Raw genomic sequence first — 12,970 nt, forward strand, 5'->3', positions numbered from 1 at the left:
TACTTATCATGATTACTGTTGAGTTAAATTGTGTACCCCTCCTCCCACCAAATTCATATGTCAAAGTCCAAATCTCCAGCCCCTCAGATTGTGACCTTATTTGGAAATAGGGTGATCGCAGACATAAGTAATTAAATTGAGGTGATACTGGAGTAGGGTGAGCCCCTAACCCAATATGACTGACATCTTTATAAAAAAGTGAAATTTGGACACAGACACACCCATGGGGAGGATGCCATGTGAAGACTGAAGTTATGCTGCCACGAGCCAAGGAGCTACCAGAAGCCAGGAGAGACCGGGAGCAAATCTGTCCCTTGTACCTTCATGGGAGCACGGCCCTGCCAGCCCTGTGATCTTGGACCTCTGCCCTCTAAAACTGAGATAATACATTTTTGTGTTTAAGCCACTTCATTTTGGCACTTGGTTCTGGCAGGCCCCAACAAACTAATGCAATCCCTGAGCTTTCTGGCACCCCCTTAAGTTTTAGGCTCACTTGCCTCACCCCGGCCCCAGCCCTGGATCATTCTGTGGCCACTCTTTCTCCCATTCACTCATATCAGCCTCTAGATCTCTGGGATTGAAGAGGAAAGGAAACTCTTACAAAGAAAATGAAAAGGAGCCTATGAAATTCAACCAGTGGTCGAAAATGTCCTGGAGCTGGACGTGGGTTTCAGGGGAGAGAGAGGAAGCTCTTATTTTAAACTTCATGTCCTGAAACAAAAACCTTTAATTTCTGGCCAGAGCCCATTTCACAGAACATGGAGATCTGATCTCCAAAGCTGACTCAGATCATCTGTTTCTCCAAAGACAGCTCCCAGGCTTCACTGTCCTTGAACTTTTCAGAGAAGATCTCCTAGCCACCTGTTATATAACAACACTCCTATGTGTTGAACGCCTTCTGGCTGATCTGAATCTACCTCGGTGCTCTTGAAGACATGTGCTCTCTCCCTAGGCCTCAGCCGCTATGTTTCAATGCAGCTATTAAGCCACCCGCACCCTCTCTTTGCAGGCTAATAACACTTCTTTAGCCTTTCTATAAAACTCTAATCCTTTAATCCAGCCATGAAAATAAGAATTGTTCTATATGCCCAGAGCCTAAAAGAAATCAGATGGACTCAAGTGAAAACAGGAATTTTTTTTTAATTTTTTTTAGTTTTTTAATGCAGATTCTGATTTAGAAGCTCTGGAGCAAAGCCCAAGATTCTGCATTTCTTTTCTTATCTTTTCGTTTTTTTTTTTTTGTTAAGATAGAGTATCACTGTCACCTAGGCTGGAGTGCTGTGGTGGGATCTTGGCTTACTGCAACCTCCAACTCTCAGGTTCAAGCAATTCTCGTGCCTCAGCCTTAAGTAGCTGGGATTACAGGTGCGCACCACCATGACCAGCTAATTTTTTTATTTTTAGTAGAGATGGGGGTTTCACTATGTTGACCAGGCTGGTCTTGAACTCCTTGCCTCATGTGATTCACCCACCTTGGCTCCTGAAGTGCTGGGATTACAGGTGTGAACCACCTGTAAAATGCCGGGCCAAGAGTTTATTTATTTTTTTTAAGTAGCATATATGGCCCTCTATTTCTGTGTCTGCCCCTCTTTGCTTCCCTTTCGTTAATAATCAGCATACAAGAGAATTTGGGTTGTGCGGGACTCTGCGTATCCCCAGCCTGTTTGGAGAGGCAGCATTCTGCCTGCTGCAGTGAAATAACAGACTCGAAGAATAAAACACTCCTCATCCCAGACAAAGTGCCTAAAAGTTCTGATGCATTTTTTAAAATTATACATGCGAAATTGGTTAATTTTTATTTCTGATCTTTACACTTATTTTTTTATTTTAAGACAGAGCCTTGTTCTGTCACCAGGCTGGAGTGCAGTGGCGCCATCTCAGCTCACTGCAACCTCTGCCTCCTGGGTTCAAGCCATTCTCGTGCCTCAGCCACCTGAGTAACTGGGGTTACAGGCATGCGCCACCACGCTAGGCTTATTTTTGTATTTTTAGTAGAGACAGAGTTTTGCCATGTTGCCCAGGCTGGTCTCAAACTCATAGCCTCAAGTAATCCACCTGCCTTGGCCTCCCAAAGCGCTGGGATTACAGGCGTGAGCCAACACCCCTGGCCTACACTTGTTCTTAAGCCTTCAATTTCAGATGTTCTTTGACATACAATGGGATTACATCCTAATAAACTCATTGTAAGTTGAAGGTATCATTAGTACAAAATGCATTTATTACCCCAATAAACCCACTGTAAAGTCAAAAAATTGCAAATCAAATCATCATTGGGTCAGAGACCACCTATATACATATATTATCTAGCTATGGCAAGGTATCCTGAATTCCTAATGAAGGTTGCCCCATGGTTCTGACACTATAAAACCCACGATTATACGTGGATGTAGAAGTAAATTAAAAAATTATGAAACACAGGCAGGAAACTCAGTTCTTAGTTTCTGTAACTCTTGTAGAGAATGGTTATATAAAGATGAAAAGTGACACCAATATCAATAGTTGCATACATTTCAAATCCAGATTATAAACATAAATATGAAGACTGTCTGCTTTTATGTCTTATATGAGGCCAAAGTTACCAACCATTCTCAATAAGCAACACTAATACTTTGATTTATTTTTCAGAATCCTTCATAGAAGATAATTTTCAAAGAAAATGAACTATAAAGTGCCATGAAAGGAAGAATTTACAATGAGATCTGGAGAGAGGACTAGTTTTTCTTGCTCAGAAAAAAAGGTTGTGGGGGAAGCAGAAAGAGTTTGTGCATGGTAGGAAAAAAAAAGTACAAAGACTAGCTACAGGGCAGAGAATAATCCATGCTTGGAAAAGCTGAATGAAGAGATGTGGAATAACATTAGGGCTGAGGGCTAAAGTATGAAGATTCCTTAACTCGCATGCAGGCAAATTTTGAATAAAAAGAAAAATCGCACTTACCTAATGGTCTGATTGTGGTAGCTTTTCAAATCCTGTCCAATGCTAGTGGTTACTACTATCTATGATGGGAGGGATACACAAGAATCAGTTATGCCTCATCACCCTACATTACCTATGCAGTCCTTTGTGTAAATTACTCATGATATGTGTTGGAGAGTCTTTTACCTGATCAGTTTCTGCAAAAATAAAATTAACAGTTTACTAGCCCTGTGCATATTTTAAGATTTCATACATTTAACTTCCCCAAATGTGACTTGATGTGATTAAAAATATCTACAATGCAGTTTCCACCAAGTTTCAGATACTTCCAAACTCCAAGCCAAAGGCTCATTTGATGTATTTGTCCTTAAACGCTTGTTGTGTAGAAAGACAAGGAAATATGTATGACACTACAAGGAGTGTTTAAAATCTTGCTCTGATTCCATCAGAGCCTTAGGGGGAAAACAAGATTGGTGTTGTATGTTCTTCACACACTGCTGTTCCCACCTCCCTTTCCCTAAGCACTGGGAATCATCATTCTCATTTTAACAGGGACACTATTTTTTGTCATGAATGCTGTTAGCTGTCTCATATGGGCTCTTCTCATGTCTTGGACTCCAACATAATAAGCCTCTCGACTCAAGGGGCCACTTACATTCTGCTAGTGCCACCACAGAGTAAGTGTTAGGGCGTGTCTCAAAGACGTGGCTACGACACTTGGTCTATGAAAGACAAACTAACCCACCAGAAACCAACCCAATTCAGCCATACAACATGTTGGTTCAGAAAAGAAAATGTCTCACGCCAGTTGTTTGCCTAAACCAACCATTTAAGTCACTTATACATTCAGTCAAGGCAGACTATGCTAGTCCCATCACAGAGGTGGATTTTGGGTGGGAAGCATTATGTGTTGTTTGGGACCTGTATATATTAGACCAGATAGAATAGAAAGAAGAAGGACAAATGGGCTAAAGTCTACACACACCAAAAAAAATTTTTTGCCCCCACTTATCTGGTCTTTCTAATTCTCTCCTGCTTTACTCAACTATGTACTCCACCACTAAGTTTATCTCCTTCATTAAAGGACTACTTTTAATCTTCTGCTCAAAAATCTTCTATGGTGCTTTGCAAGTTGATGTCTAAACTCCCTGATATCCAAGATTCTCTGCATTCTACTCCTAAATACGTATTTTCCCTTCTATTAGCTTTCTATAGTCCATAAATTTTTACTCCAGTCAAACTAGTTTGTCTGCTAACCCCCAATAACATGCTGAAATACCCTCTTCTCCGTTCTCCATCTAAATCCTGTCCAACCAGAGAAATCTTCTCATGATACCTCCCCTAAGCATTCCAGCATAAAATGCTATCTCCCTTCTAGGAATCAATACAAATCATCTGGCAATTAATTATTTTTAAATAATAATAATAATAATAATTATTATTATTATTATTATTATTATTATTATTGAGACAGAGTCTCACTCTGTTGCCCAGGCTGGAGTGCAGGGGCGCCATCTTAGCTCACTGCAACCTCCGCCTCCCGGATTCAAGCGAGTCTCCTGCCTCAGCCTCCCAAGTAGCTGGGATTATAGGCACGTACACCACGCCCAGTTAATTTTTGTATTTTTACCAGAGACGGGGTTTCACCATGTTGGCCAGGCTGGTCTCCTGACCTCAGGTGACCCACCCTCCTCAGCCTCCCAAAGTGCTGGGATTACAGGCATGAGCCACCGCACCCAGCTATCATCTGGCAACTAAGCTCGCTTTGTGACAGTCCTTTACCTGCTTAATGTTACTTCCACAAATAGTCTACAAGCAACTCGAGCATAGTGCCTTGCATACAGTAGGTGCAAAATAAGATCTGTGAATCTGCACTGATGATTTGTTGTCTCAGGGACAACAGCACTGAGCTGACCTTCTCCGTAAGAGAAAGCATCAACCAAGCTATTATGGCCATCATAATTCTCACATACATAGGAAGCTAAAATGTGGACCACCGCTATGTCACTGAACATTTTTAAGTAAACAAACACACATACTAAGAATCCCAGCTAACATTTTACAGACTCTTCTCAGGAAAGCAGCAAGGACTGACCTGATTTCTTTTCTCTTACAGAAAAAGGAAATGTGATCAACCTAAACACCAAGGGAAGACTGTGCATCATCTCATCCACAAGACAAACAAAATGCCTCTTCCAGTTTTGTTACAGGAAAAATCACAGATCAATAAGAAAAGCTGATGAGAAAACAAAGCAACCAGAAAAAGGTGGCAAACCCACACTGTGTATATTGAGAAATAGAACTGTCTTCAATTAGAACAACAGATTTGCCATAATCCATAAAATTCATGTTATGAGAGTTTGAAGCAGTTATGTACAATGTTTTATACTACAAAGTAGATAAAGACCCTCCATCCCACCTGAATTATCACTTATGTGTGTTGGTTATTATGGTCTGTTTAATGCCAAACATAAGCAATTGCTTCACTTGCCAAAAGCAGTCAAATCATTTCTTGGCTGAACTAACCAATCCATTTCCTTAAAAAAAAAGTTGTACATCTGATTACACTATATAAACATGGCCAATATTGTTTTAACATTTATCTCCACAAAGCCTATCTCCCCAGGAGAAAAGGACTGACTTGCTCAGATCAGTATGGCTGTAGAGCTGCCTGTATGCTTTATTCATTCACCCTACAGTCAAAAGCAGCACTTTAAAAGTTAATTAAATGGGATGGGATTCTTATGATTTAAACTTCCATCTATGAAAGTTTGATTTAGCAAGCGTGTAGTTGTAACGAGTCTATCATTTACCACAAATTTGCTTTTGCAGATTTTGTTGCTCCCCGGCTTTATAGCAATGCTTAACTTTAAGCGAAAATGCTCGTATGTCGTGTGATGAAGCGTGCATACAGATACCTGGCCTCCGTTAAAAGAGATATCCAGTCGAAACCACTCCTTCAAAGGTATGATGAATTTAGTTTTTACAGCAAGGTCTTCCCCTTTGACAAGATGCATCTGAATATGCAAATAGCCTAAAAGGAAAATTCGAGCACATGAAAATGAGCAAAAAATATCTACGAGTGAATGAAGTAGCTAGGCCTTTTCAACAATTGTCCTAAGAAGCTACAATACTCCACGAAAACAAAGCAAAACCCAAACACGCATTTATAAATGCATTTCTTTGTAAATAAGACATTGGGTTTAAGCTTCTGGGAAAGAAGTTAAATTTGAAGCCCACATTTGGAAGTCATTGCTCTTGCTGGGCTGCCATGTTGACAGGATCTTCCTTATTCTAGACAGACATATCTGTCACTAGGCAGAGCATTACAAAATTACAATATCATTTTAAAGGTTCTGTTTTATACTCACCCTCTTCCGTAAGAAATACAGAAGGTGTGCCGTACATCTCATTAGAGTCAACAAAGTACAGAATCCCACAGAGGTTGGCCTTGCAATAATGGAGTAAATAAAGCCACAATGAAACAGTAAACCTATAAGAGTGAGGGGGAAAAAAATTCTGCAGATTGATATCATCCAAGAACAGGTAATTATGGTTAACAATGACCAAGTAAATTGCTTTCTTTCCAATGAATGGATGAATTTGCCTTCGCGTTCATCATGGGAGATCAGCTTGCAAAGCTTGATTTTTGAAACAAAGGAGGTAGTTAAAGTAACTGCAAAAGACAGGAGTTAAGCTTCATTGTACAAAACTAGCAGACTTTCTACCTTGCACCAAAAACTCTGTTTCTCTGCCTCTTTGAGAATCTCACATGCCTGCTATTTGAATTCTTGATTAAGGCTTACAAAGTCAGACATAGATTAAAAAAATCTGGATTTTAATAAGAGGTGATATGATAAGAAGCTATTTTAATTTCTATGTTAAAAGAAAAAACATAATTAGAGCCTTTTGAGCAATTTTGTTCCTTTCACAGATAAAAGCCATAAGGTAGAAAAATGTAATCATCTACAAATGGCATCACTATGTGATAATAGGGACACATATATGCTATTTTCATGCTCAGATTAGGTTATTCAGTATCACGGTCCTGGCTGACCAATACGGAACAATTAATCTAATTATCCCATTCCTGGACTGGGGCTATTTTAGTCGAAAAAAATATTGTACATCTGTGACTTGTAGAGTGAGGATAAAATACCAGTAGCCAACTTAACCAGGACACATTTAGCCAAGATATGTGATCCATCAATCATTCAGAAAAGACTTACTGAACACCCCTTGATACCGCACACAATGCTACTGACCAGTAGTTCAAAGATGAGGAAGTGGGAATGATTACATTTTGTATGTGAAACATGGATCAAGGTCAAAATGAATGCATTGATTTCTCTTCATTTACCCCAGTAACCAATTTACAGTTTGGGTTAAAGTGACAGTGGCCCCAGGTTCTTTGCAGATACACACAAGTCCTTTCTGGTCTTTATAATCTGGCCTCAAAATCAGTGGTATGATATGCAAACAGATGGTGCCACACAGCTCCCTCCTGACCCACCCAGCTGAGCAAGCTCATGAAGATAAGTTATTACAAGGAAGCTTAGCAAGAACATACGCTCGGTAAAGTGACTCAAGATCTTTCTACAGCCAGCAGCATGGGAAGAATTAAATCACTCTGCTAAATCCATCTGGTATGAGGTGAACCAGGAACCATTTTCAGCATCTTCAATTCAGCAGAAGGAAAAAAAATACATATATCTGGGTCTTGCTGAAATCAATGGAGGAGATCAGAAGTTGTGAGATTTCAAACAGCTCGTCCAATCTTCCACGACAGAAAGGCAAAGCCAAGGCTGCAATGTGTGCTGGCTTTGGCTGGCTGCACCTGAGACCTTGCAGGGCCTCAGGCTTCAACACCTTGCTGTCTACTCGTTGTCATGTAAGGAGGCTAAGGCAAATTGAGGATTGTTAAATGCCAAGAATAATTCAAGACTCATTTGAGGTTTTCAGGTCCACCAATTCTGTCTAAGCCATGGAAATCTCAACATTTTTGCAAAACACCTTACCAAGAAGGTGTGTCTTCCTAAGGAATTCTTCCACTAGCCTGCTCTGGTCCTCAAATAAAACAAGCACCGCCCGATCAGCTCCCTTCTGCTACCCATCCTTACACTGGGTAATCCATCCTCTGGCGTCGAGTGGCCTCCAGCTCTCGGTTCCGAAACCTCGGGAACTTCTTGACAATGCCTGTGTTTTCTCCACTGGAGGCATAAGGAAAGCCAAGCAGGGCAACCACATCTGCAAACAGCAAAATGGCTCCCTTTCAATTATATCCAGAAAAACATTCCTTCCCAAACCACATTCATCCTGAAAGCCTCTGCTGAGCTCCAATCAAACATTTAAGTGAGATACCCTAAAAATATTAGCAAACATCTGTTGAATAAATGCCAAGCACCATGCTAAGCACTTTACAGAGACCATGTCAATTACTTTTCATAACAACTCTGTGAAGTAGATTCTATTATTAGTTCCATTCTACAGATGAAAAGCCCGAGGCTAAGTTCACAAAGTTAATAAGTGATAGAACCACAATTCAGGTTCTGAACTCAGGCTTCTGTGTTCATAATCATTTCACATCTTGCCCTCTGAATGCTAAGAAAAGTATCTGAATTTGTGTTACAACAGTAAGTTAACACTTCTGTAGTTCTCACTATGGTCCTGACATTTCTGTAAATGTGCTACATAAATTTGTTCATTTCATTTTCATTATTATCCCCAGTCTACAGATGAGAAAACAGAGGCACGGTTGCCAAAATAGTAAGTAATATTTAGTGTACACCGGCAATATGCTAAGCCCAATTCAGGGATAATCTCACTTCATTTCACAACAAACTATGAAATAGGTTCTTTTATTATCCTCATTTAACAGATCGAAAACTGAGCATCAGAGAGGGTTAAATAAGAGATGGAGCTGGGATTCAAACTCAGGCTCTTTGGTTTCAGAATCCATACTCTTAAAATTGCAGTTTTTTTTCTTCTGTGCAAACTTTCCACAGTAAATTCAACATACTACCCTACATAAAAATTACTAACCATATACCTTAACATTGGAAAGTCTTCCATTTTATTTCACAAACACGAAAGAATTCTTCTCTATAGCTCTAAAAAGCATAGGGATGTTCACAACAAATCTTAAAGGGAGAACTGAGTTATTTCATCTATACTTAATACCTAACACTTTCAACAAGCCTAAGTATGAATTTTTGGTTTTCCCTATTCTCCCCAACTAAAGAAAAGAGAATCCACTTAACTCAACCTAGGAATAAGAATACTTTTCTTGGCTGGGCGTGGTGGCTCACACCTGTAATTCTAGCACTTTGGGAGGCCAAAGTGGGCAGATCACTTGAGGTCAGGAGATCGAGACCAGCCTGGCCAACATGGTGAAACCCCATCTCTACTAAAAATACAAAAAAAAAATTAGCCGGGCATGGTAGTGCGTGCCTGTAAACCCAGCTACTAGGGAGGCTGAGGCGAGAGAATTGCTTGAAGCTGGGAGGCGGAGGTTGCTGTGAGCTGAGATGGCACCACTGCACTCCAAACTGGGCGACAGAGCAAGACTCCATCTCAAAAAAAAGGGATACTTTTCTTCTGCTTAAAATACTCCTTAGTTTAGACATTCATGATTAAATGGTGGGAACAGTCTATTTTCCTGGGCCTCTTGGAGAGAGAAGAGTTGATTTATGTGCAATCCATCAAACACCAATATCGGCACAAATTATGGGGGCTTCAGCTTAGGATGCTGGACATCCCAGCTCTCATTTCCCAAAGGAAATAAAAAGTTTTATTATATAGAGAGGTACCTCTGGTTTACTACAATTTGGAAATCGTAAGAGCAGTTTTTAGAATCACAGGCCCTTGTGTATTTTAATAAGATTAAATAAGCCAATTTCTCCCCAGTAGCCACAAATCTTCATGGTTTGTTACAAGTAGAGATGCATTTGGAAATCCAAAAGAGTGGAGTTATCAATTTCAACAGAAGCACTTGAAACCCTTTGTTTTTTCAATTTGAGCTCAATTTGGGCCCACTGGACTTGCTGGTCTATGACGGGGGTGGTGAGAGGGGTGAGAAATGGAAGTACTGCAAAGGTTTTCTTTGGAATCTGAAGGAAAAATTCACCAAGGAAGTTGACATCAGCTCAACTTTGGTTTGGCTTCCACTATGTTGAGTGGAGCAGAAGAGACCAGATGGCCACGTTAGACCCCTAGGAAGCCTTCTGCTGGTGATGGCTGTTGAGTGATCTAGTGTGCAGTGGAAACATTTGTCAAAACAAATGGGATTCAATTCTGCCCAACCTGACTCCAATTAAAAAAAAAAGCTTCATAAAGGAGGTTTCTAAAGTGGAAAGAGTTAAACGTGAATGACAATGAGCTCTTCCCTGTCCAAAGACCAAAATAAAGCAGGTCAAACGGGAGAACTTGCCGCAATAGATTATGAAGGAAAAAGCTCAGCCCCAAAGATCTAAAATAATTTTACAAGAACACATACCGTTTGTACCCAACAAAACCAAAGTAATGGTAGTTTTCTTTCAAATCTGTAGCTTTGCGATGTGTATAATTTGGATTCCTAGTGCAGTTTGCCCTCAGTATGATACTGTCTTTTGATTACAATTAGAGGTAATGAACAAGAATTAATTTTGGAGCAGGAGAAGACTTTAAAATTCATCTGAATAACATATAGGATATGTTATTTATCCTATATGTTATTTATCAGGATAACATATAGATCTATTGTCTAATAACTGGTTATGGCTGAGTGCAATGCTATAATTGACTAGTGATGTCTTGTCATGGGCAGTGGAATGGGTAGCAACAATACCAGTGCCATCCACCACTAAATAATTTACAGGTAGGAAAACTTAGGTCCAAAGAAGTTTACTGCTTTGCCTCTAGGATGTACTCATTAAAGCAGGGGCCTTACTTATTCACTATTCCATCCCCAGAATCTAGAACAGTGTGCAGTACTTGATAAAGACCCCATAAATATTTGATGAATGAATGAATATAGGTGTGGCCAAGTCAGGATTTGAACCTGTCTCCCTTCCTCCTAGTACTGTCCACAATTCTGTAATGTGCACCACACTGCGTAAGCCAAAGAATGACCTTTCTTCTTTCAAATCCTTTCCCCACATTCATTTCTTTAGCTTATTTTGCATGAAGAGCTTAGGTTAAACAAACAAACAAACAAAGACACCATTAAGACATAAACATAGAATGCCAGGAAAACAGTTGATGTTAGGAACCCTTTGCTGTTTTGCTTGTATTATTTCCTCAAATTTTAGAGCAAGAAGAGGCAACAGATATTATATGGTGCAAACCCCTCCATTTGGAGACAAGAAAAGTGTGAGTGTCTTATTGAAGATTTCATAGCTAGAAGAAGCTCTAATATGACTCAAACCTGGCCTCCCCACTGCAAACCAATGGGCTTTTCTTCTCACAAGTCCTCCCAGAGAGAACCTCGGCTGATATTCAGTGGGCATGACCTGTGCGGATATACTGGTTGCTAAAACACTGAAATATTTCTATTTTGGTTTGATAATTGATGTCACCTTGAACCTCCAAGGCCCCGCCACCCACCCTGGCCCCTCCTTCAAGTTAGAGCCTGGCCCAACAGCGGCCTCTGGAGCCGGCTTCAGCACTAAGGCTAGCACCCACTGGAGTTCACCGAGGCCCCCACCCCTCACTGGTTGTTAAATATGTTAAATCTCATCCCTGGGTCAGGTGGGGTTAAGGGACGATTATGTAGCCCATTCTCTGGTTCAGCTGAGTGATCAGAACCCTGACACAGATCCCTTGCTTGGGAAAAGGTAACACTTCCACGTAACAAAGGTAACACTTCTGTGTAACAAAACCCCACTCCAGATGTGCTTCGAACACACAGCAATGAAGCCACTGAGATCATCAGCCCACCTTCAGAGAAGCTGAAGATGGTCTCAATGCAAGGAATCACAATGACTACAAGTCTGTAAGCAAAATCTGCGGGGAAAGAAGCGAAGATTTCTCAACCTGGAGAAATAAAGCCAGAGCACAGGCAGCTCAATAATGCTTTCCAAACACAGGACATTCAAAAGCCAGTGGCCAATAAGGTGTTTAATTTTCTTTAAAGCCAAAGTCTGAGAATAAAAACTCGATTTTCTAGCAGATATGATTTAGGTCAGAACTTCCTCCAGAAAGGATACTAGGCAGTGAAGCAGGTTCCTAAGGAAGTCTGTGGAACATTCGATGGCAGGAATCTTAAGAATAAAACCAGTTCTACTCCTAGTAATTTATCCTCCAAACATGCTTATGAGTGTGCACAGAGATACATGTACAGGGATGTTCAGTGAAGCCTTGTGGTTAAAAGCAACAGCATGATCATCAGCAAAAGATAGGTTAAATAAATTACGGTCTGTCAGGCGATGCAACGCTAAGGAGCTGTTGAAAAGAATGAGGTCGGCAGCATGTCCTGGTACAGAAAAATCTACTGTATTGTTAATGAGCGCAGGTCTGTTTCTAGAATCCTCTCATTTGTGCAGGAAGAAAACGGGACACAACTTAACGCTTGTATGTGCAGAGAACATTTCTAGAAGGAAACACAAGAAACTGTTGCTAATGAATTTACTTCTGGGAAAAGGACCAGAAGATTCGAGGGGGAGGGGTGTGGAAACTTACTCGTTCCCCTAAACCTTTTCACGCTATTTAAATTTTTTTATTGTTACCGTGTACACGTATTACTTTTTCGTCTACGAAAGAAAAGAACAAAAGCTCTGAGCACTTCCGGGCAGGCATATAGAAGGAGCCAGCTACATCCCAAGGCCTCCCCACCCTCGGCCTCCAAGTCTGCCCAATCCGCTTCAAAGACACAAAGTCCAGTGGGTGAAGAAAACAGGATGATTCACATCGATAAAAATTCAACTTTAAAAAAAGTATTCTTTCTAATTTAGAACCTGGGTTAGGACTGTATTAGCATATTTCAGAGAGGCGGCATAGCAAAGTCAAAAGAATCAGGAAGTCTGGACTCCAGTTAAACAAACTCCCTGAGCCTCGGTTTTCCTCTTTGTTAAAGAAAGG

At 40.5% G+C, this 12,970-nt stretch overlaps 1 protein-coding gene across 9 annotated transcripts in view; it reads right to left on the minus strand.

The window, feature by feature from the left end:
• Positions 1-12,970, minus strand: part of SEL1L3 (SEL1L family member 3) — a 149,603-nt gene that overhangs the window by 113,199 nt on the left and 23,434 nt on the right. For all 9 annotated transcript variants that reach the window (XR_007096387.1, XR_007096388.1, XR_001741182.3 and 6 more), the window contains exons 3-6: positions 8,035-8,161; positions 6,286-6,407; positions 5,833-5,948; positions 2,936-2,994 (exon numbers count right to left, since the gene is read on the minus strand). Coding sequence is in view for 5 of the 9 variants with exons in the window: in NM_001297592.2 (NP_001284521.1) it covers positions 2,936-2,994; positions 5,833-5,948; positions 6,286-6,407; positions 8,035-8,161 (424 nt within the window). In the remaining 4 variants the exon portion in view is untranslated. The remainder of the gene's footprint in view (positions 1-2,935; positions 2,995-5,832; positions 5,949-6,285; positions 6,408-8,034; positions 8,162-12,970) is intronic.

Source organism: Homo sapiens, chromosome 4 (assembly GCF_000001405.40).
Source record: "Homo sapiens chromosome 4, GRCh38.p14 Primary Assembly".
Taxonomy (NCBI): Eukaryota; Metazoa; Chordata; class Mammalia; order Primates; family Hominidae; genus Homo; species Homo sapiens.